Source organism: Homo sapiens, chromosome 10 (genome assembly GCF_000001405.40).
Source record: "Homo sapiens chromosome 10, GRCh38.p14 Primary Assembly".
Lineage (NCBI taxonomy): Eukaryota > Metazoa > Chordata > Mammalia > Primates > Hominidae > Homo > Homo sapiens.
Window position 1 is genome coordinate 17,002,858 of NC_000010.11, and position 24,959 is coordinate 17,027,816.

Consider the following 24,959-nt stretch of genomic DNA (forward strand, 5'->3'; position numbering starts at 1 on the left):
CTTTGCAGAAAAGATATAAGTGAAAATTTGTCATAAATACAAATCAGACTCAGTATCACGATGCAGAAACCTGTGCTTTGGTTCCACACTAAGAAGGAACTCATTTCCAGTCTCCATGCTTAAAAATATTTTAAGAGTATCACAAAGACAAAAGCCCAAAATATCAAATAGGCTGAAAAAGCCATCATAAACAGGATGGGATATAGCATGTATAAATGTGAGAGAAAGAATAGTCAGCATTTAGGGAAATATCTCTTAACTTAAACAGAGCTAGTTGTTTTTAAAAGCTTCTCTTTTACTTAAATTTCTACCAAAACCAAGCAGGATTTCCTTATCTGACATCAAATTCTTGAGGTTACTTTGGAGGCGGATGGATGGGTGCTTTACCATTTCTCTCTGTGTGACATTATGTCTATCACAGCCTAGCAGGAAGCGACACTGTGAAAGCAATTCCATTACCAACGGAGAGAAGGTCTGCGCCTGAGATTAGAACCAGACAGTGTGATTCACAGCCCAGCCCTGTGAACCTGCGCTAGAATCTTTGCTGACCACAATTCATAAATCACTTTCATTGCCAACATCATACTTCCAGATTGTTGTGAATTTTTTCACCACGTGGCAGCAAGGACACACAATAATAAAAATTTTAAATTGAACATTTTTTGTTCAATAAAATTTTTTCGTTCAACAAAAGTTTTTTGTTCAATAACAAAAAAGAGCCCTAAAATCATTTTCAAACTGGAAAACTTAGGTAATCATGAGTCTGTATTTCAAAGTTATAACTTTGAAGAAATTATTAGGAAGAGAGAATGCGGCAATTGATCTAATATTTTCTGTGCCAGGATTTATCACAGCACTGGCCACATAGCCCTTGAGTGTCTTTGCTGAGGATTCATCAGAATGTTACTCACCTTGGATCATCAGTTGTCTTGTCTCTGCAGACCGCTATTCCTCGCTCTTAGTAACCAGGACCCAGAATGGTCCCCTGGGGTTGCCTCTGTCACTGTGATCTATGATGTCTCCAGTTGTAATCTCCTCCCTTGACATTTCCCACTCCATTGTCTAAAACAACAGTGGTTCCCTTTTCCTTACTACGTTAAGTTCACACTAGTCTAGCTGGCTTTGAGAATTCTAAAGAATCTAGCCCAGGAGGTCTACGAAGCCTCATATCCCACTGTCTTCATTACATCAGGCTTGTTTCTCTCTCTTTCTTGGCTCATGCTTATCCAGGCACCATCTGTCATTTCTTGTCCTGATCATTCTTCAAGGGCTCTAAAATCTCACAGAGTCCGTGAAGATTTTCCCCAATGACTTCCAGCCTCCTTACTAGCCTTGCAATAGGCACCTCACAGTTCAGCACTTCTGTTAGTTTTCTACACCTGCTTCCTAACTGATCATGCTCAGCTTGAAGACAAAGACTAACGTGGTATTTCTTTCATATGCCTAAAAATACCTTGCACAGTTTTGGATATATATTTCATCATGCTCACAACTCCAAATTCACCAACATGTAGTTTATTCCAAAGTCTCTTTCTCTGGCCCAAAACCTCACCTAATTTTTATACTGACACCAGCAATTGCTGAAAGGATACATCCCCTGAACATCTCAAATTCAGCATGTTCAAATAGAAGCTCACAATTTTCCCCCAAACATGGTCTTTATCTGGGATTTCCTATCTATGAATAATGGCACCACCATGCACCAAATCATACACCGCAGGAAAACGGGAGCTATCCATGATTCCTTCTTCTGTCTCCCAGATTGACACACATCTACTCCACCATCAGATCTGCCCATCCTACCTTCTAAATAGCTCTTTTTTTTTTTTTTTAGCAGAATCTCACTCTATTGCCCAGGCTGGAGCGCAGTGGTGCCATCTTGGCTCACTGCAACCTCTGCCTCCCAGTTTCAAGCTATTCTCCTGCCTCAGCCTCCTGAGTAGCTAGGATTACAGGCACGCACCACCACAGCTGGCTAATTTTTGAATTTTTAGTAGAGATGGGGTGGGCCAGGCCAGTCTCAAACTCCTGACCTCATGGTCCACCTGCCTTGGCCTCCCGAAGTGCTGGGATTATAGGTGTGAGCCACTGCACCCAGCCCTAAACAGCTCTTTAATACGCTGCCTCACCCACTACTCATTTCCTTTCTCCCTGCTCTGACTAGTCACCAAACTCTCAGTCTCTTCCTCTTCTTGGGCATCCCTCTACTTGCCAGAACTCTTATTCTAAAGTGTACTTCTGTTTGCATCACTAAATTTCCCACTTAAAAATCCATTGGTGGTCTTTCCCTGATGGCAGGATAAAATCCAAATTCTTGTGATGTTTCCTATCAGTTGGTTTCTGATAACGTGTCCTGCGTCAACTTCTATCACTCCCTTTCCCTAGTGTTTCTCACCTTTTGTTCATTATCAGCCCCCTAAGGAGATTGTTCGGACATTTTTTTCCAAATTCTCAACCATGAAAATTTAATACCACAAGTATATTGCATATCTGTTATGTACTGTATATCTTTATGCTTTATACATTAAAGAGTAAGAATTTCTTAATCCCCCTACCAAGAGCCAATTTTACCTCCTTGGAGTTGATACTGCCCCAATGGAGAATGCAGAGAATGTGTGGTCTAGCTGAAGGACTTGCTCTTTGCAAAACTTTTGTGCCCTCACACCTTGCTGCTTCTACTTAGAAAAGCCTTCCTCTCCCAGATATTTGTCTGATCAATTCTTGCCCATTCTTTAAAACTCAGTTCAAATGTCAAAGCTGCCTGGAGGTCTCTTTGAACTTCCGCAGGCTGTCCTAGCTATTTTTTTCTGTGTTCCCATGGCGTCCTGGATTATGTATATATTTCTACACTTGGTTTACCTGCCTTGCCTACTCTATGACTAACTCCCCAAAGTCAAGAATGTGATCTCCTTCCTTTCTGGTATGGGCTGAATTGTATCTCTGCCAAAATTCATATGTTGAAGTTCTAACTCCCAGACCTCAGAATGTGACTGTCCTCGGGGATAGGGCCTTTAAAAAGAGGCAATTAAGTTAAAATGAAGCTGAATGGACTGTAATCCAATCTGACTGGTGTCCTTATAAGGAGCAAATTTGGACACACAGAGCTATCAGGATGAACACACACAGAGAAAACACCATGTGAGGACACAGGGAAAAGGCAGCATCCGCAAGCCAAGGAGAGAGGCCTCAGGAGAAACCAACCCTGCCGACACCTTGACCTTGGACTTCCAGCCTCCAGGAGACAGCACACTTCTGCTGCTTAAGCCTCCCAATCTGTGGCATTTTTGTTACGACAGCCCAAGCAAATTAATACTCTCTATATTTAGACAACAAGCCCAAAATATGTGCTGGATGGTTGGTTGAATGAATGAAAAACTTCTTCTCAAAAAATATCTGCTGGCAGAGGTTATGTGTAATTGACATGTAAATAATCATGTAATTAACATGATTCACAGTTGTAGCTGCCTGTTCATTATAGGCTGGGTCCAGCAGATCTTCTCCTAGAGCCCAGCTTACTCACCCTCACACCCTAAGGCATTTTCTCTCACACAAGACAAGTGGATAACAGAATTACAAAAGATAAAACCTTTGTCTTTAAAGGGTGAACCTCCCAGAAATCGTACTACATGTACTCTAAGTCACAAAAGGAATAAAATTTTTGAATGAGAAGGAATTCCCCCGAAAGACCAGTGATAAACAAAGGCTAATGAAAGACCACTCGAGAGAAAGAGACCTGGAGCAAAGATCTAACTTTAAGAGAAACACTGCCGACCTCATGGCGGTTTTCTGCCAGTGCTCTAAAGATGTTTTTTAAAAGCCCTTTGGTACAGTGCCTCATGCCCACAGGTAGTCAAGAAGGCACTGGCTTACATCCAAACCGAGCCAGTCATAAAAGATGTTGACACGGTTTTTAAAATGTTCTCTTCTAATTTCTGAAACTTCTCAAGGCTTGAGAAATCTCCTTAATAGCTAAAAGGAAGATAAAATGGACCCAGCCCCCATTTGAGAGGCTGATGTCATCTATCTTCCCAAAGAAAAGGCCACTTTTTCCTTTGTGGAAATCCTGGGTGACATCACCTCCTGATCACATGCCCCTTAGCCCTGCTCCTGCAAGCTCCCAGCTGAAGGGTTCGCTCCCTTTGCAAATGTCACTCTCTCGCTCACAAAGCTCCTTGACCTTGTTTGTATGCTGGATTCCATCACTAAGTGAAAGAAGGCTTCTGGGAGCAACGACCAGAAGAGGCGAGGGGGTCTGTGCAGCTGGTTGGGAGGCCACTTTTCACACAGCCTGCGGAAACTTCTGTATTCCCCACCCCTATCCCCCACCCCCTCCCCCTGCAACCCAGATGGAGGCCTCCAAGGCTGAATTCAGCCGCTGGACAATGCTGTCAAGGCTGAATACCATGAACCGATTAGAGACAGGGCAACTGTGGCCATTTCTTTATTTCCAGGGTGGGGCCCTCTTTGAGGACCCGCATAAAAGGCCCTGCAATGTTACTTTGTCTCATGTCTGCATGGCCATGTTCAGAAAGAGCCCACAGATAAAGCCTCGTTGTAGATCCGTTTTCTTAAAGCCAATAGAAGGTTTGTGTCGTTCACAAAGAAGCATATTTTGTAAATGCGTTTGTGTATGAACTGGGGAAATGAATGAAGTGTGTAGGAACTCTTCCTCAGAAGCAGTGCTCAGGAAATGATGTCGCTGCCAAGTTTGAACTCTCTGCTTGGTGTTTGGAGATCGTACTGCACAGTTTAGAAAAGAGTCCAGTGGGGAGGGTGGGGCAGGGGGAAGGGATTGCAAGGTGATAGGATTCTGAGGAAAAGAGGCTAGGAGTTTAAAGCCACTTGACCTGGCCAGGGCACGAAGAGCAACTCCAGGACCAGCGTTAGCGGGGCTGTCCTGAGCCCTCCACCTGATTCTGAGAACATCCCTTGCGGGGCTGTGCAAGGAGAAGCCTTTCTAATTATTTTCCTTCTGATATGTTACACACACTCACACAAATGCATTTAAGAATGTTATGACCAGCTCAGTGGCTCATGCCTGTAATCCCAGCATTTTGAGAGGCCGAAGCAAGCAAATTGCTTAGCTCAGGAGTTTGAGACCAGCCTGGAAAACAGAGAAACCCTATCTCTACAAAAAATACAAAAGTTAACTGGGTGAAGTGGTGCACCCCTGTAGTCCCAGCTACTCAAGAGGATGAGGTGGGAGGATCACCTTATCAAAAGGCTGAGGCTGCAGTGAGCTGAGATTGCGCCACTGCACTCTAGCCTGGGAAATAGAATGACACCTCGTCTCAAAAAAAAAATTACAATTACACTTGAGCATTGAGAGTAATTTTTACATTTATTTAGCCCCATGGCTGTAGAGTCCCTGCCCGTGTGTGGTGTGTGTGTGTGTGTGTGTGTGTGTGTGGTGTGTCTCTTGAGCACTGAGAGTAATTTTTACATTTATTTAGTCCTGTGGCTGTAGAGTCCCTCCCCGTGTGTGTGTGTGTGTGTGGTGTGTGTGTGTGTCTTGAGCATTGAGAGTAATTTTTAAATTTATTTTGGCCCCATGGCTGCAGAATCCCTGCTCGTGTGTGTGTGTGTGTGTGTGTGTGTGTGTGTGTGCGCGCTTAGCCACATTATGTGCTTAGCTCTGCAGCCACCTTGGCAGCGCTGTTTCTCTTCGACTCAGTTCCATCCTCTTGACTTCTCAGGTCCCTCGGGCTCTCCCCACTCCCTCCTATCACAGGGTCTTTCTTCTACCTGGAATCCTTTTCCTTATCCTGCTTGCCTAGTTAACTCCTGCTTATTTTTTAGGTTTTGGTTCAGAGGTCTCATTTGCGTGGAGATCATCCCTGACCTCCTGCTGGGCCCAAGTCAGATGCCCTGTGTGTGCCCGCTTGGCACTACTCATGGTTTTGATTTTCTATTTATTTAAGTGTGTTTTTGCGTGATGTCTGCTTCTCCCACCTAGCCTAGCTCTGTAGAGTAGAAACCAGGCCTGCTGGTCTGAGTCACTCTGTGTCCCCCGTCTCAGCACAGTACCTGGCACAAAAGACATCCTTAGTGTCTGTGGAATGAACAAATGCGTGAATGATACATCATGATTTACGTCTTGCATTTAACTCCAATGGATCAAAAATGGCGGGACCTCTCCCATGGAAGAGCTCGCCCTCTCTGTGGGCTCCCCTTCTCAGGTTATCTCAAACTAAAGACCTACTTCAGATGCAGAGTATTGAACTCTGTGTACCTGTGGCATTGCATACCTGTAGAATATGATAGTCAATTTTGCACAGATCTAAATGACTAAAAATTCCTTTCCAGAAGTTTCCTCCCAAGTATAATTTACATATTGTGAGCAGCACAGAGTTAAAAAACAATTTTATATTTCGGTTCTGGTCCCAGCTGGCAACATTTTGTTGCATAACTCTGGCTCCAAGTTTCCAGCAACTGGGAGAAAGTTTTGAAATAGTAAACAGGAAAGCAGAATAGACAGAGGGTGCCTTTGACTCTCCCAAAGGAAGACAGATTCCAAGTAGAACTGGTAGAAAAAAATGTTCCCAACATAAAACTCAGAGATTTCACCAGAATATTCAGCACATTGGCTGGAAGAGCCCATTGATACAGTAATCTGGGCACAGCCTGCCATGACCGTTCAATCAAGCTCCTTAGAGTGGCCTTGGGCTAGTAAGGCTAGAACAGCCTGGAGGGGAGAGGAAGCAGCCACTTAGGAGAAAGTAATCAGCAAAATCACTGCCCTCCCAAACTCTCCATCCTGACTGTACGGATGAATCACTTAAGGAGCATTTAGAAATTAGCAATAGTCAGGGCCCCACTGCAGACCAACTGAATCCTGTCTCTGGATATTGGAACCCAGGCATGGGCACTTTTTAAAACTCCCAGGCAATTCCAATGGTGCATCTAGGACTGAGAACACTCTCCAGGGCCCTGAGCCCAGGCTTCCTGGTTAACATTTCTTACCTTCTACACTTCTGTCCCTGGGGGAAAGTTCTCTCTGCTTTAGATCTTGCTATTATCCTACTGTCATTAAAACAAACAGTACAATGTGCCCTTTCAACATCTCAGAAGGATTCTCCAGTCTCTAGGGATACTGTCTTTCTACCATCTCATTTCTCCAGTCTCAACACTTGCTCTCACCTTGTTCCTCAGAGCGGTCCATAGAGCAGCACCAGCAGCATTACCCGGGAGCTTGTTAGAAATGCAGATTCACGGGCCTTGCCCCAGACCCCATCCTCTATCCAACAAGATCCCCAGGGTTCATGTGCACAGGAGCATCTGGGTAGCACGTATGCTCTGGAGAATGCCCCAGCCCTTGAAATTCTGGGCCATTTCCCAGGATTCTCCTGACCTTTCTGTCTCTTTTCACACTGTCTCTAGTTAGAATCATGTGTTTCAGAATCACGGAATACTACAGATCATCTGTATTATAGAGATGAATCAATCCAATCCCTGCATTTAACGGATCCATGAGTTGACTTAGGTTGAATCTACCCACTTGGGCCAGGTGCAGTGGCTCACACCTGTAATCCCATCACTTTGGGAGGCCAAGGCAGGAGGACTGCTTGAGCTCAGAAGTTCAAGATCAGACTGGGCAACATAGCAAGACCTCAACTCTACTAAAAAAAAAAAAATGCCAGGTGCAGTGGTACACACCTGTAGTCTCAGCTACTCAAGAGGCTGAAGTGAGAGAATCACTTAAGCCTCAGAGCTCAAGGCTCCAGTGAGCTATGACCAGGACACTGCACTCCAGTTTGGATGACAGAGCAAGATCCTATCTTGATAAATAAATAAATAAATATATAAATATCTACTCACTTGATGAAGAGGAAGGTCCAGAACTTCTACAAGCTTAGTTATCACAACTCATTTACTTTGGGAATTCCTAATGTACGTTTCAAGCTGCAAGTAGCTCTGTGGATGACCACTGACTATTTTTAAATACTGAAAGCCCCATACATATTTTAACAGACATACACTCAGAGCCCAGTTTATAATCTCAGAACGCCTAGCACTCCTAAGTGTATAATAGGGCTATTCAGTTATAAGTAGCTCTGACATTCCTATAATGAGTGCACCAGAATGTGAACAATGTTAAGAGTCAACCACTGCACACATTCATGTGTGCTCAGCTAGAGCTCAGCCCTGATTTTGACAGCAGGGCCACAGCTTAGATGTCTATGCTTGGTTCCTGGTATAATCTTGGAACTCCACTTCTCTTTCCAGTTGATTGAAATACACCAATGAGCTCTAGCATCATGGTTGAGAACTACTGCTATGAGACCCACAAGCACTACATGTTCCAGGGCTAGATCACTCTAAGACAGTAGTGTGTCTGGAATTTATTCCTTCTGGTGGGTTCTTGGTCTCGCTGATTTCAAGAATGAAGCCACGGACCCTCACAGTGAGTGTTACAGTTCTTAAAGATGGTGTGTCCAGAGTTTGTTCAGATGTTCAGATGTGTCCGCAGTTTCGTCCTTCCAGTGGGTTCGTGGTCTCGCTGACTTTAGGAGTGAAGCTGCAGACCTTCACCATGAGTGTTACGGCCCTTAAAGGTAGTGCGGAGTTATTTGTTCCTCCCGGTGGGTTCGTGGTCTTGCTGACTTCAGGAATGAAGCCGCAAACCTTCACAGTGAGTGTTACAGCTCATAAAGGTAGTGTGAACCCAGAGTGAGCAGCAGCAAGATTTATTGTGAAGAGTGAGAGAACAAAGCTTCCACAGCGTGGAAGGGGACCCGAGCAGGTTGCCGCTGCTAGCTCGGGTGGCCAGCTTTTATTCCCTTATTTGGCCCTGCCCACGTCCTGCTGATTGGTCCATTTTACAGAGCACTGATTGGTCCATTTTACAGAGCGCAGATTGGTCCATTTTTACAGAGTGCTGATCGGTGCGTTTACAAACCTTTAGTTAGACACAGAGCGCAGATTGGTGTGTTTTTACAAAGTGCTGATTGGTGCATTTACAAACCTTTAGCTAGACACAGAGCGCTGATTGGTGCATTTACAAACCTTTAGCTAGACAGAAAAGTTCTCCAAGTCCCCACCTGACCCAGAAGCTCAGCTGGCTTCACCTCTTAATCCCCCCTCTAAACAGGACACCCCAACTGCTGCTGGGAATTGGGTGATGACCACTCTAGCTACTTCCCGCTGGATAGGGGCAAAGAAGGGGCCCTGAAGTTGTAGTGTCCTCCAGAGGGGAACTCTTTAGGCTAATGAAAGGGCCAGTGGGTCGGTCCAGGGGTCCTTGATAGAAGTTGTTAGTTGAGCTCATTTGGGGTTCCATTTGTAAGACCATCTGTAGCCTGATGGCCTTGATTCTAGAGGAAACAAATTTGACAAGGAGGTTAAAAATACAGGGCCCGAAGGCAAGTAATAGCAAGATGGCTGCCATGGGACCTAGAAAGGGGAGAAGCCATATTGCCCAACTCCAGAGGTTGGTATAAGAGTTTGAAAGGCATTGTCTGATATCAGAAGCTTTTTCCTGTAAATGCTGCGTGGCATCTCGTACTATCCCTGACTGGTTAGTGTAAAAGCAACACTCTTTCCCAAAGAAGGTGCAAAGTCCTCCTTTCTCAGCAGTGAGGAGGGTCTAGGCCTCAGCAGTTTTGGAGAGTCACTGCTGCCGAAGAGTCTATTTGGGATTGTAGTTACTATCCTTACTGGACAGATTTTGTTATTTCTTGCAAACTGTCTGAGAAATGCTTTGAGAGTGTGTGGTAGTAGGATAATGCATGTTACACTGTTAACTTTTAGCAAACTCTACGTTAGTAGAAAACCTTGTAAGTTTGGGATTTTAATTTTTCTTTGCTATTAATAAAACCTCATTCCATCCATATTAACTTAGAATTGGTATAGATGGCTCCTTCCTGATTCTGTAAGTACTTTAAGATTTGGCTGAGTGAAAACAACTTGCACATTTGAGCAGACCAATTATTGGGCAATTTTCCTAACTCTGCTTCCATAAGAGTTTCCTGAATACCCATTGTGTCTTTTTCCTTAATCACCTGGGAGGAACCATCTATATCCTGTCCTGAAGGGAGCTCCTCCTATGTCTGGTGGGACCTTTGTATGGTAATTAAGATTTAGATCCCCTGTTAGGAAACTTGCTGGGTTAAGGATGTTTGATAGGAATGCTATGGGTTGTCAGTGGCCTCAGTGCTTTCAGGTTATGCCCTTGTTTACACTGACAACAAGGTGGTATTGGAGTGTTACAGAGTTACAGAGAAGACCTTCAATTATCTATTATAGGTTTTAAATTTACCCTGGCTTTTAAAGGAATAGGGTACACTGTTTTTTCTTTACTACTTCTATCCCTTTCTCTCTCTTTGACTCCTTTGTCTCTTCCTCTCTTTCCTTCTCTGACTTTGTCTGTCTCTTCCTCTCTCTCTCTCTGACTTTCTCTCTGTCTCTTCCTGTCTCCTTCTTTTGACTTCCTATCTTTCTCTTTCTCTCTCTGTCTCTCTGTCTCTTCTTCTCTCTCACTCTCTGACTTTCTATCTCTCTGTCTCCTTCTCTTTCTTTCTCTTTCTCTCTGACTCCCTCTTTGTCTCTCTCTTCCTCTCTCTGTCTCTCTGTCTGACTTTCTGTCTCTTTCTTTCCTTTCTGCTGGTCTTTCCCTGCCTCTGCCAGCCACTTATGCTGCTGTTCTCCTCTCTCCTTCCCCTTTTTGATGGCTTCAGCAGTGTAAGACTGCCACCTCCTTGGGTTTTGGCACTGAGTGCAATAACTCCATGATTTCCTTGTGGTATTTAATAGGGGATCCCCCAGAGGTTAGGAACTCCCTTTCTTTCCATATTGCAGCACGGGCATGTAGGATTAGATAAGCATACTTGCTATCTGTATACACATTTATTCTTTTTCCCTTTCCCAGTTCTAAGGCTCGAGTAAGTGCCACTAGTTCTGCTAACTAGTTGCTGGTCCCTGGGGGAAGAGGCTTACTTCAGTATGGTTACATCACTAACTATGGCACAACCTGCCTTTTGTATCCCATTTTCCACAAATGAACTTTCATCAGTATATAGGTTAAGGTCAGGATTAGCTAAGGGGACTTGTAAAAGATCATCTCAGGCTGCATAAATCTGGACTATAATTTGTTGGCAGTCATGCTCAATTGGTTCCCCATCCTCTGGGAGAAAAGTGGCAGGGTTGAGGGCCGTGCATGTACGTATCTGAAGCACTGGTCCCTCAAGGAGTAGCACCTGGTATCTAAGTAGGCGGTTGTCTGATAGCCATAAACTTCCTTTGGCACCTAGTATGCCATTTACATCATGAGTAGTCCAGACAGTGAGATCCTTTCCTTGTATTATTTTGATAGCCTCTGACTATTGCTACTATATCAATTTTCTTACTTAGGTATGCCACTGGTTGTGGGGTTGTCCCATGAGTCTAAGGACCCCAAGAGCTATTCCTGCTCTCTCTGTGATGTATAAAGAAAAGTTTTGTCCTGTGGGAAAGCTTAAAGCTGGAGCTTTTACTAGGGTCTGCTTTAAGGTTTTGAAGGCTGTTTCTGCCCCTGGTTCCCATTCTACTAGATGAGTATTTGCCCTCTGGGTCTCCTTGATTAGAGTATAGAGGGGCCTGGCTATCTCCTTGTATCTGGGGATCCACAGTCAGCAAAAGCCGATGATTCCAAGGAACCCCCACAACTGTTTTAATGTCTTAGGGTGAGCATAATCCAGTGTAGGCTGCTTTCGTTCCTTGCTGAGGGCCCTGGTCCCTCTGGCTAAGATTAGGCCTAGATATTTGGCCTGCTGTAGGCAAAGCTGGGTCTTCGACCTAGATGCCTTGTACCCTTGATTAGCTAGAAATTTCAAGAGATCTAGAGTCGCCTGCTGGGATGAGGCTTCCAAACAGGTAGCCAAAAGTAAATCATCCACATATTGAAGGACCAGAGTGCCTGGACTTGAGAAGTTACCTAGATCTTGGGCCAGTGCCTGAGCAAACAGATGAAGGCTATCCCTAAACCCTTGGGGCACAACTATCCATGTAAGTTGGGACGTGTGGTCTGTGGTATCCTCAAAGGCAAAGAGAAACTGGGAGTCAGAGTGCAGGAGAATACAGAAGAAGGCATCCTTGAGGTCCAGAACAGCAAACCAATCTGCCTCCCTTGGCATTTGAGAGAGCAGGGTACAGGGGTTCAGTACAACTGGACATAGAGGAACCACCACCTCATTGATGAGTCCAAGATCCTGCACTAGTCTCCAATGACCTTTTGATTATTGTACTCCTAGAATTGGGGTGTTGCAGGGACTGCTGCATTTCCTTACTAAGCCTTGAGCTTTTAAATGTTTAACAATATCCTGTAATCCTTTATGAGCTTCAGGCCTTGAGGGATATTGCCTTTGATAAGGAAAAGTGGTGGGGTCTTTTAGCCTGATTTGGACTGGGTGGGCATTTTTTACCCTTCCAAATTGTCCTTCCAGTGTCCAGACTCCAGGGTTGATTCCCTCCTCAAGTAGGGGAAAACAAATGGGTAAATTGTTCCCCATATTCATGTAGATAATAGCTCCAGCTTTGGCTAATATATTCCTCCCTAATAAGGGTGTGGGACTTTCAGGCATAACAAGAAGGCATGTGAAAAGAGCAAAGTCTCCCAATTACAACTGAGGAGGTAGGAGAAATACCTGGTTACAGGATGTCCCAGGATTCCTTGGATGGTAAAACCTTGAGGACAGTCATCCAGGACAAGAGATTAACACTGAGAAGGCCATGCCAGTGTCCAGGAGGAAGTCAATTTCCTGGCCCTCAATGGTTAAATGTAACCGGGGCTCAATAAGGGTCATAACATGAGCTGGCACTTGCCCTGGGCACCCTCAGTCCTGTTGTTGGATCATCTGGTTGGGGACTTCTTGCCCAGAGAACCACTGCACTCAGGGGCAGTGCACCTTCCAGTGATTGCCTCAGCATAGTGGACATGGACGAGGGGGCGGCTTGTTTCTCACTGGACAATCTTTTTTAAAGTGTCCTTGTAAACCACACTGATAACAAGCCCTCCCAGGTGATTGGCCTGCTCCATTTTTTGTCCTTTCTGAACCACCAAGGTTTGTTTGTCTGAGGACCATGACTAAGGCTGTGGCCTTTCTCTGATCTCACTTTTCCTTTTGGGTCTGTTCCTCTTGATCCCTATTATAGAACACCGAGGTTACCAGGTTTAATAATGCCTCCAGATTTTGTTCAGGACCCAGGGCTCGCTTCTGGAGCCCTCTCCTGATATCTGCAGCTGATTGGGTAATAAACTTATCTTTTAGGATCAATTGACCCTCGAGTGAGTCAGGTGACAGGGGAGTATATTTTCTTAAGGCCTCCCATAGCCACTTGAGGAAGGCAGAAGGATTTTCTTCCTTTCCCTGAGTTATGGTGGACATCATTGAATAATTCATGGGCTTTTTCCTAATTCTCCTTAGTCCTTCTAGAGCACAGGTCATTGGATGTTTACAACTCCAGTCCCCATAATCTGAGTCGAGGTCCCAGTGGGGATCCATACTGGGGAAGGCTTTTTGACCAGTAGAGAATTTGTCCCTTTCTTCAGCTGTCATCCTATCATTTACTTCACTAAGACACCAGGTATCTCCAAACTCTTGGGCTGCAGCTAAAGCCACATTCTTTTCATTAAAGGCCAGGGTTTGATCTAACAATAGCAAGATATCTCTTCAAGTGAGATCAAAGGTTTGCCCTAGACCCTGTAGGACATCTATGTACCTATCAGGATCATCTGAAAACTTCCCCAGGTCTGCGTTGATCTGCTTTAAATCAGAGAGGGAGAAGGGGACATGTACCTGGGTTGGGCCAAATTCTCCTTCCCCTACAGCTTGAAGGGTACATAACCAATATCCCGGGGGTTTTTGTGGTCCCTTGGAGATTTCTTTGCTTATTTCCTTCTGGGTGGGGGAGATTAGAGGAGGCTTATCATTAATAGGGAGCGGAGCTATAGGGAGGCTAGGATATGGGGGTAAGCTGAAAGGTCCTCCTGTGGGATGTAAATTGCAAGCTTTGCATAGTTGTGTATTCACCTTCAATGAAAAGAAAGCTTGGACATAAGGTATTTCACTCCATTTGCCTTCCCTCTTACAGAAAAGGCCAAGCTGCAGGATAGTATTGTAATTTATACTTCCCTCAGGTGGCCATTTATCCCCATCAGAGAGAGAATATTGGGGCCAGGCCATAGTGCAGAAAAAAATGAGCCACCTCTTTTTCAGGGTTTGCGGGTCAAATTGGTCCCAATGGCTTAGGACACATTTCAAGGGTGAGCCTGTTGATGCCTGAGTGTTTCCCATCTGAAAGACAAAACTGCCCGTGCTTTTGGTTTGTTTTGTTTCTCCCTCTGCCCAAGAACCCGCAACAGTCCCTGGACCCTGCTGATCAGAATAGTTGCACTCACCAACGCAGCAGCAGAAACACTAGTTTTCCTCCTAGACCACAAGGAGGACTGAGGAAGGTCAGATTTAGTGGCCCTTATCAATGTATTCTCCAAAACCTGCACCCTTGCCTGTCCTCCTAGACCACAAGGAGGACCAAGAAAAATTGGATTTAGTGGCCCTTACTGACACATTCTTGAAAACCTGTTAGAGTCCTAAGCATTCTCTTGTTAGTACTGGGACCTTACCCGCATCGTATAAAGGTGTTATGCCCCAAAAATGAAGCAGAGGGCCATATCCTGAGGAAGGGAAGGGATCTCCAGAGTTGGAAGAGTGATGCCTTTTGTCCTCACTTATATGAATAGGAAGGATACAATTTCTGATGCTACCCATATCCTAGCTTCAGGAATAGCTATTGATAGGCCTGCTTGTCTGAGGAGGGATCCTAAAATTCCAGATAGTACCCCCTACAATGGGGCTTTGGGCAAAGATTATGTCTTTCTGATTGGTGAACCCAGGTGCCTAAAGAAGGTAACAGAGTCCTGGAGTTTATATTAGAAATCATTCTTACAGGAGAACCTAGAAAAGCAACAGAGACAGGGAGTGGTTTTTAGAAGCGGGACTAGCCTCAGAGAAGAGAGGCGAGAGGAAATTTGTCTGACAGGCATTAGGACCCAGGAGGCAAGGGTCAGGATAGATAGGATAGATGGGCAAGTCTTGCTTGGGTGACATGACTTTGAGAGTTTTACTCATGGCTGCAGGGCCAACCAACTTGTTGTTGGGACCCCAGAGCTGAATGGCTTTCCTCTCTGTCAACCCTCAGCTCAGCCCAGAAGTACAGGAAAAGCGGAAGCTGGTTCCAGGCCAACCAACGCTCCCAACTCCGAAGAGTTGGGGGTTGTTAGAGAGCCGTTTCCCAGAAAGCCTGACACCCGTGTCTTTAGTCTGGCGGCCATGCTAGTCACTTTTAACTGGCCAAGAGGTGCCCGGTATATAGCCCCCAAATTCTAAGGAAAAATAGGACAGAATAGCAAGCGAAAGGGGTCCAGTGGTACTCACCGCTTGGTGATTGTCCCATCTGGGTCACCAAAATGTGTCCGGAATTTATTCCTTCCAGTGGGTTCTTGGTCTCGCTGACTTCAAGAATGAAGCTGCGGACCCTCGTGGTGAGTGTTATAGTTCTTAAAGATGGTGTGTCCGGATTTTGTTTGTTCAGATGTTCAGATGCGTCCACAGTTTTTTCCTTCCGGTGGGTTCATGGTCTCGCTGACTTCAGGAATGAAGCCGCAGACCTTCGCAGTGAGTGCTACAGCTCATTAAGGTAGTGTGGACCCAAAGAGTGAGCAGCAGCAAGATTCATTGTGAAGAGTGAAAGAACAAAGCTTCCACAGTGTGGAAGGGGACCCGAGTGGGTTGCCGCTGCTGGCTAGGGTGGCCAGCTTTTATTCCCTTATTTGGCCCTGCCCACGTCCTGCTGATTGGTCCATTTTACAGAGCACTGATTGGTCCATTTTACAGAGCACTGATTCATACATTTTACAGAGCACTGATTGGTCCGTTTTTACAGACCGCTGATTGGTACATTTACAAACCTTTAGCTAGACACAGAGCGCTGATTGGTGGGTTTTTACAGAGTGCTGATTGGTGCATTTACAAACCTTTAGCTAGACACAGAGCGCTGATTGGTGCATTTACAAACCTTTAGCTAGACAGAAAAGTTCTCCAAGTCCCCACCTGACCCAGAAGCTCAGCCGGCTTCACCTCTCAGTAGTTTCCAAACTTTAATCACCAGGGAGACCAGTTAAGACACAGATTACTGGGCTCCACTTCAAAGTTTGTGATTCTGTAGGCCTGGGATGGGGCCCAAGAATTTGAATTTCTAACAGGTTCCAGGTAATGCTGACGCTGCTCTCTAGGGACCACATTTTGGGAACCACTGCTCTGGGGCTCTCCACTTGCAGATTGGCCCACCTGAGATTTGAAGACATTTCAGATCTCTTGTTAAAGAAGACCTTTCATCTTCAGAGGAATGATGATCCCTACCTGCTTCCTGAACCACCAATTCGTAGGTGGGATCCAGATGTGCCCCTTCCTGTTTGACAAGTACAACACATGCCCCTGGCTTTGTGCATCGCAGCTCAAATTCTCCTCCTCTCAGGCCAACCCTACCCCTTCCTTTTCCCCATCCCTGTCTGACTTTCATTCTTTCTAGTCTATCCCTACCCTTTCTCTGCTTAACGTCAAGGTGAGCCTTAAGTCTCATTCTATTCCATTGCACCTGAGATACTCCCACCCCAACTTGCAGTTAGCTTGCTATACCCAGGTTCAACTCTTCATCCCTAGAAACTTCATTCTGCTTCTTTCTTTATCTAAGGCAATTTATTACTACACCTACAATTAACCAAATTCTTTCCACTTTGATGTCACTTCCTCTCTTAATCCTAACAGACTTAACTCTCCAAGTTCCACCAATATCTAAGTATATTTCTTAAACCCTTGCATGAGATTACTACCTGGGTTCCATTATTTGTTCATGGTATTGTTTCTAAGTTTGGAACTGAAAAAGAAAAAATTCTTGGCCAAATAGCAACTGCAAATACAACTGAGATCAGCACCTGGCTTACCGTAAACAAACCACTGCATCTGAAATCCTTTCTCACGGCGGCCAACCCCATCTGTAAGGAGCAGCACTTGAAGCTTGGAGCTTGTAGTACTCCCTGGAGGGGGCAGGTCTACTCCACAGTAGCGTCCCATCTGCCGTGGTCCATCATAGAGCTGAAATTGAAGAGAAACTTTCCCATATAAAAACACATGGTTTGTGGGATGGAAAAATCCAAGTCTACACAAGTAGCAAAAGCTGTTCCTTGGTTCAAAAGTTAGAGGTAAATCTGCTGAGGTGGGTTGAGTACACAGAACTCAACATAAGAATTAAAAATTGATAATTGCATAGAGAGGGTATTAGAGATGGATCTGATTCCTAAGCCCAATAAATTTGGAAACCCAACTAGTAACTTTTGGTTTTATGTCAACCTAGCAAGTCCAAAGTATAATTCAGGCTCAGAATACGGAAATAGTAGGCATTCACATATTAACAACACATAGGGGGGCTCAATGAATAGCAGCTATTATAATTGTAAGATATAATTTAAAAATATTTTTAAATGTTTATGGGTACATAGTAGGTGTATATATTTATAGGGTACATGAGATACTTTGACACAGGCATGCAATGTATAATAATCACATCATAGAAAATGGGGTAGCCATCCCTTCAAGAGGTAATTTTTAAAATAAATGCTACCTGTAAAATAATCAGACATTTTAGAAATATATGAAAAAGGAAAATACAAATATTGATTCGACTAAAGACAAACACTGTTAATATTTCATTAAATCCAAAAATTTCTCTTGATACTTTTTTCATTTGTATATATGTGTAATATACCTATTTGTGCAGGTGTATATATGTGTTTATACATTTGAGCTATGTATTTAATTGTGTTTCTTGTTTTTCATTGAACATATCACTTAATTGTGTAAACCTTGGTGTAAAATGCCACAAATATAATGTATTTATATTATAATTCTATTGTTGTTTCATTTAAGATATTTCCAATCTTTTGCTGATATAAATAGCTGTTTGATACTTCAAATGTTTCTTTTAAAAGATTCCTAGAAAGGGAATAACAAACAGTATAATCATATGGCTCTTTATAAAATATTATTAAATTTCTTACCAGAAAGTTTATACCAACCTATCCTCCCACAAGCAGTTAACAGAGGTGTTTCTTTCAGTGGAGCTTTGTCAATTATGATGACGATCATGTTTTAAACTAGTACTGACAGTGAAAAACTGCCTTTTTGTAATTGTCTTAACTTGTGTTATTTTAATTACTTTGACATTGAAGGATTTTTTTTTTCATGTTTAGGGGCATTTAGATTTCTTCTCTTGTAAATTGTTTACTGATGTCTTCGTCCATTTTTCCATTGAGGTATTTATACATCTTCAAGGAGAAATGGAGGGTGCAAGGTTGTGTCCCCTTAACCTACCTCATTTAATGATTTTATCAGCTGTATATCTCCAAACTGAAAAATAAAAATTAAAAAACACAAAAATCTCTCTACTATATCTCTTCACTTGAGAAAGATAATGGCAATCCAACAAGACTGGCTTCCTCAGGACTAAGGCCATTACATTTTCACCTAATCGCCTTCATGTTCCCTTTAAACACTTTGTTCCAGTTACCCTTGGGATAAGCTGCCCATGACAACGAAACATAAAATACCTGGTAATGGACTCATGGATTTCCTCGAGGATGCCCTTGGAGAGTACATCTACTTAAGAGTATGTGTGAGTGTCTGTGTGTTTGCACGTGTCCGTGCATAAATGTATAATCTGGATTCAATGAATTCCAGACTGATCAAATTATTTTCATTGAAAAAAAATGTTATGACATGAAATATTGTTTGAAACATATTGATTTGAGTGTGGAGAACTTTACCACCAAATGTTACAAAGCACCTCCATGGAGCCGCCCCTAATCCCTGCAGTCAGGCATAAATTAGTCTGCCTTTGAAAGCCCTTGCTTTTCATCTGTGCTTCTTTTGTGGAAATGATCACATCCCCAGGCATTCTTGTTATGGGCTTGTGTGTCTTACCTCCCCTACTGATTGTGAGTCGCCTTAAAGCACAGACCACCTCTGGCCTTCCCCTCACTGCCCAGAGCAGGGCTTTGATAAAGGCAGGTTCCCCATGCATCTCCAATGAATGAACGCAGTGATTTCCCCCGCCAGCTGTATTTATTTTACTTAGGACCCAATCTGCACGATTATTTGCACTCTGTACAGTTAGATAGGTAGTAGTGCCATACAATCCTCAATTTCAACAGGCTCCTCTTAGACCATAAAGGATTTGGACCCTTTGTGCCACTCCGTAGAAGGGAGAACCAGGTGAGGGCCTTGTTTAAGGTTATGATAAATCGCAGATTTTTAAACCTTGGCCTGTCTCGCTGAGTTCTCAAATCGGCTGCTCATCATAAGTGCTTGTGAGATTTCAGGGAAGGTCAGCAGATATTTTTAAAAAGACAAGCTCAGAAGCCTATTATGTCATTCACCCCAAAGCACTAAACCTAAGCATTTTAAGCAAATGAATAAAGATGAGTTTTATTTTTCAGGCTTACTGCTGTAGCTTCCTTTTTTTCTGTTTTTCGTACTGCTGCTTTGAATGTGTATATTTATTATCAAGTTTCTAATATTCTACACATTTATCAGAAGCCTCCCCTATAATGAATAGGGGAGAATAAGAGAAGAATAAAGCAACAGAAAATGAAGAGGGAAACGAAACGGAACAGAAGCTTTTCACCTTAGCGTTCAGTCCCACCCTCTCCTGCAGGCGGAGAAACCGGAGGGCGAGAGGCCAACCTTGCAGCCTGTGCTTCTAAATCCCTGCTTCCCTGCAGGAGATTCATCTCAGCTTTAGAGTTTTTCTTAATTCTAGGGCATGAAGTACAGTTCTAAACTAATTAGCACAGAAACAAACATACTGCTCCCAAGTAGTGGAGTAATTAGCAAGCAAATGCTCTACCATCTTTCACTCCCCAAATCTTAACCTTTGGATTGTAATTTAGTGACCAAAGCATAAATTATTTCATTTCTGTCAGGCCTCTGAGCCCAGGCTAAGTCATCATAACCCTTATCCAACAAAACATAGGTAAGATTTCTCCATAACTATAATCACCCTAAGCTCGATGTGTCTTACGGAATACTAGGTCGCAGCATGTTGCGGAATTATATTTCAATCCTGCACAAGGTCATGAACAGCATAGCATTTTTGCCTGTCAGCTCTGCAAGATTAAGAAATGTGGCATTTTCACGTGACTTAAAGAGATTTCTTTTTTTTCCTTCCTTCTGGATGGGATTACGCATTGAAGGAGACCCCTGGATCTCAGCTGTTCAGTGGTCTTTAATAACACATTGTAAAAGTACTGGGTGGGGGTGGAGGGGCTAGGCAGTAGGTTTGGGGGGCAACACTGATGAATGACAATTAGTTTCTTTTTGCCTTTGGGGGGAGAAAATTATGCATTAAAATAAGCATCAAATAGACATTTATGAAAATGCTTAAATATAATGTCCAATCTAGTAATAAATGTGTAGAACAATGTCTCGAAAAGGAAAAAAAAAAAAACTCATACCTCGTTTTTTAAAGTTTGCCGTTAATAAAATCAGGTTTTTTGTTTATATTCACACAGATGGGTAACGTCACCTCTACAATTCATTCCCGCGCAAATTGACCACCCAAAACCACACAAAAAGGAACAGTCATTTTTCAAAGTATACAAATACAGGTTACCATGGAAAGCCGTCTCACTGATTCTGATTCTGTTTTCAGAGCAGAATGTTAACCACAGGACGTTCCAGCTGTGACTCATTGCAACTACTGACAAGCAAGCTGGAGTGGCCCTGCTTTTAGAGAGCCTGAAGATCTACTCAGAGTGAACAATACTTGAAGTTCTAATTGAGTTACAGAAAGGAAACTAGTAAAAACTAAGAAAGATTGCGATTCTCACCTTGAATATGCAGATCTAATTTCTATAACTGTGTTTAGGGGTATTTTTCTAAATTACTAAAATAATGCTTACATTTTCAAATTGGCCATTAAATATATCTTCAGATGCGGAGATGTGTATATTACAAAACCTTCCTCTGTGAAATCTTTTGTTATTCTCTTAAAGAGATTATTCATTTAGGATTTTCGTGGCTTAGGTCCCCCCACCCCCACCCTACCCCCAAATATCTCAACTCCTCTTGACACACTCAGAGAGGAAGGAAATCTCTTGCCTTAGCCATACTTACCAGTTTCTACTTCCTTTGTGCGGGTTTGATAATTTGGCACATACTTTACAATACCATTAGTGAATTCAGACTCCAGTTGCAATAGGAAGTGATCCGTGGACTTCTAAATAGGAAGGACCCATAACAAAGGGGAGGATATAACACTAAAGACACCACGTGTGGTCAATCACTGATAGAGATCCAATTTTTTTGTAAGATTGAGGGTACTTAGGAGTCACTGAAAGTCAAGTTCTAAGTGAGCAGAGACCCAGACACCCCACCTGTCCCCTCAGTAGAAATCAACTTTATGAACTGCAGGATCTCCAAGAACAAAAATATGTCTTTCAAGTGCCTTGCTTGCTAAATTGTTTCATGGCTAAAAATTTAAAACTGTAATAAATTAAAATTACAAGTAATTATCTTATATATATGAGCTTGGGATGTAGAGATTAACTTTTTTTCTTAACTATTTTTTTGTTTGTTTGAGACAGGATCTTGCTCTGTTGCACAGGCTGGAGTGCAGTGGTGCAATAAGGTTAACTGTAGCCTCACCCTCCCAGGCTCAAGCAATCCTCCTGCCTAAGCCTCCTGATGGCTGAAACTACAGGCATGCAGTACCATGCCCAGCTACTTTTTTTGTATTTTTTGTAGAGACAGAGTTTCGCCATGTTGCCCAGGCTGGTCTCGAACTCCTGGGCTCAAGCAATCTGCCCACCTCGGCTTCCCAAAGAGCTGAGATTACAAGTGCGAGCCACCATGCCCAGCCCCAAACTCATTTTAGAATCACAGTGAGTGACAATTAAAACTCAGCCCTTTCTGTTTTAGATTGACATCTAATTCATACTGTTTGTAAATGTTGTTTCTTTTATTTCCTGGAAGGTCTTCTGGAAGAAAATTCTTTTTTATAGGAGATCAATTTTAAGAATTAATTAAATATAGTTCATGTAGAAAAAGCAACTCAAGAGTTTCTTTAGGATGATATCATTAAAACATGGAGAAACTTCTGGAGAATAATTTGGTCCATTTCCAATTATAAATCTTTGCAAATTCCATAAAACCTCTATTCTTTAGAGCTTAATATGTAATTGAAATAATTCATCTGCTGTGAGGAGAAATTTTGGGTGTAGTAGAGAATCCCCTATTCTTTCTATAGAATAAAAATTCTACTCAATGAAAAGATGATCGTTCAATTTTTGAGAACTATACTCAATCAGTTTATAGAGTGGCATTTTGAAGTGAGTGTCACTAATAGAAGATTATATTTCAATCACAAGCAGGAAAGCAATTTTATTGTAGAATGTACTTGACTAATGTCAATGTGGCCAGAGCCAGGCTCTGTGTTCATAGCCCAGCTCTAAAATTTAGAGAACACAATTTTGTGAAAATTATTGAACTTCTTCAAGCTAAAATGTCTTTATCTATAAATCTGGCACCATAATGGTACTTATCTCATAATATTGTTGCCAACAGCAAATGAGATAAACCACGTAAAAGGTTTGCTATGAGGCCTGGCATGTGGAATGTGCTCAAATTGTTACTCTAACTCTTTGTCAGAGGCAAAGGGAATCAACATTTTTTTCCAGAGAAACCACCCAAAATAGCTATGAGAAAAGAAAGATGTTGGGGATTAGAGAACAGGAGCTGACTCACATAAAAGAGTTCACAGAAATCGTCACTGGTAGGGCAGATGGGGAAGTGATGAATTCAGTGAGGAGGTGGAGGCCAATCCTCGCAGTGTGTTGCTATGACAACTTGGGCATTGTGGAGACTGAGGCATCCCGGACAGCCATGCAGAAACCAAGGCGAATCATCCTGTGTGGGGTGGAGATAAGCATGCTGTGTGTGTGGAAGGGATTGCGGGAGGACAGATCATGCAGGGGACAGCAGCAAAGAGAGTTAGGAAACCAGAGGCTGTTAAGGCTGCCACGGTGAGGTGGATAGAGTCCACTGGCAAGCAAAGTGGCTCTCATGCTAAAAGTGAGCAGCATCTCTTCCTGTTGCAGCCTCCCTTCCCCTTTGGGTCCTACCCAGCCCTGTAGTTCCTGCTGCTGAATCACTGGAGATCCAGAAGGATGGGACCTAGGGAATTCTCAGGGCATCTGCTCAGATGTTCCCCACCCCAAACAACCACCACAGCAGGATCTGTGGAGAGGCCTCATTAGGGTGATTGTTAAAAATGTTGTTGCTGAGGTTTGCACTCACATCTCCTGGAAAAACTTGGAACTTTATCCAAGTTCAGGTTACTTTAAATTTGAAGGGCTTTGAAATGTTCCTGTAACAACAGTAGAAATTGCAAAGCAAGAATCACAGAGGCTGGTTGTGGTGGCTCACGCCTGTAATCCCAGCCCTTAGGGAAGCCGAAGCGGGTGATCACTTGAGGCCAGGAGTTCAAGACCAGCCTGGGCAACATGGCAAAACCCTGTCTCTACTAAAAATATAAAAAATTAGCCGGGTGTGGTGGCGTACGCCTGTAGTCCCAGCTACTTGGAAGACTGAGGCAGGAGAATCACTTGAACCCCAGGAGGTGGAGCTTGCAGTGAGCCGAGATCGCACCACTGCACTCCAGCCTGGGAAACAGAGCAAGATTCTCTCAAAAAAAAAAATAAATAAATAAATAATAAGAATCACAGAGGAGATACAGCGCTTCCATTGTGGATAAGCAAAGCCCAAGGGGGCAAATGCAAAATCAAATCATGGTGGATAAATGAGGCAAATGTAGAGGAAGGCTGATAAGCAGAGCATGGTTGATCCCAGCCGACTCCAAGATGGCCCTTGGGAGGCTAAGTCCCCTCCATAAGGCACATGGCCACTCATAGCATGCTCCCTGACATAGGCACAGAAAAAGCCGCCTTGCCATGTGCTGACAGGGTGGGGCAGGAAATATGAAATATCATCTAAAAGTAACAATTACTCATAATGTTGGGCTTTGCATGAGAGCAAAAAACCCATCGAAATACCACATTTTGAGTTACTTGGTGTCACCCTGAGTTACAGGTCTGTCTCATATAAAAACCAGCGTTTCCTTTCTATGTGGTGGCTAGTTGCTGTCTGCTCTTACTAGAATTTACATTTTTATTCTGCTTTCTATATATTACTCCTATTAGAAGCCACAATTTGAGTCTTTTTATTTTTTAAATCATTGTCCAATCATGGGTGTGGGAAAACATTTAACTACAAAGATACTTATCTCAGAACTGTTTCTAATGGTGAAGATTTGAAAAGATTCTAAGTGTTTCACAACAGGAATTGGTGGCTGTATTGTGATGATGGGATGAGCAATGTTGAAAATGACATAATAAATAACATGGGGAAATAGTCACAAGCTATTGTTAGGTGAAAAAAGTCATTATGGGTTAGTATGTACTGAATAATCTCCTTCGAATATTAAAATAAAATAAATATACAAGGAGCGATGACAGGAAATCAATACCACCAAATATTAGTAATAATGATATACTTTAGGATTTTTTAATCTAGCTTTTTCTACATTTTCCCAATTTCCTATAATGACTATAAATTCCTTTGTGATCTGATAAATTTATTTTTAAAGCAATATCTTTGGGGACCTATTGACATGGCAGTAGAGATATGCATTAGTAATGCTTCTCCAATCTCAGAATTTCATACCCTTTTAGACTGTCAAATAAACACCTGGCCTACTAAAAATATTAAATTGTCTATCTCCATAATCTTTTCTTAAGTATCTCAAGGTTATATGTAAAAATTAATCCACTGAAATGTTACCATGTAAGGTAATCTGCTCCAGCATTAATTTAA

At 43.0% G+C, this 24,959-nt stretch overlaps 1 protein-coding gene across 5 annotated transcripts in view, besides 1 other annotated feature; it reads right to left on the reverse strand.

Annotated features, from left to right (window-relative positions):
• CUBN (cubilin) overlaps positions 1-24,959 on the reverse strand; it is a 305,846-nt gene that overhangs the window by 178,892 nt on the left and 101,995 nt on the right. For 2 of the 5 annotated variants that reach the window (NM_001081.4, XM_011519708.3), the window contains exon 28: positions 16,976-17,126. In NM_001081.4, coding sequence (NP_001072.2) covers positions 16,976-17,126 — 151 coding nt within the window. Of the gene's footprint in view, positions 1-911; positions 1,110-16,975; positions 17,127-20,700; positions 20,790-22,832; positions 22,901-24,959 lie in introns of those variants that run through there. The other 3 variants (XM_011519710.3, XM_011519709.3, XM_011519711.4) reach the window with 3 other exon arrangements.
• Positions 3,973-4,267: an enhancer, noted in NCBI's record as "tiled region #1431; HepG2 Activating non-DNase unmatched - State 24:Quies". NCBI's record gives its function as "activates a minimal TATA promoter and a strong SV40 promoter by Sharpr-MPRA in HepG2 cells {active_cell/tissue: HepG2}" and the evidence as "EXISTENCE:reporter gene assay evidence [ECO:0000049][PMID:27701403]".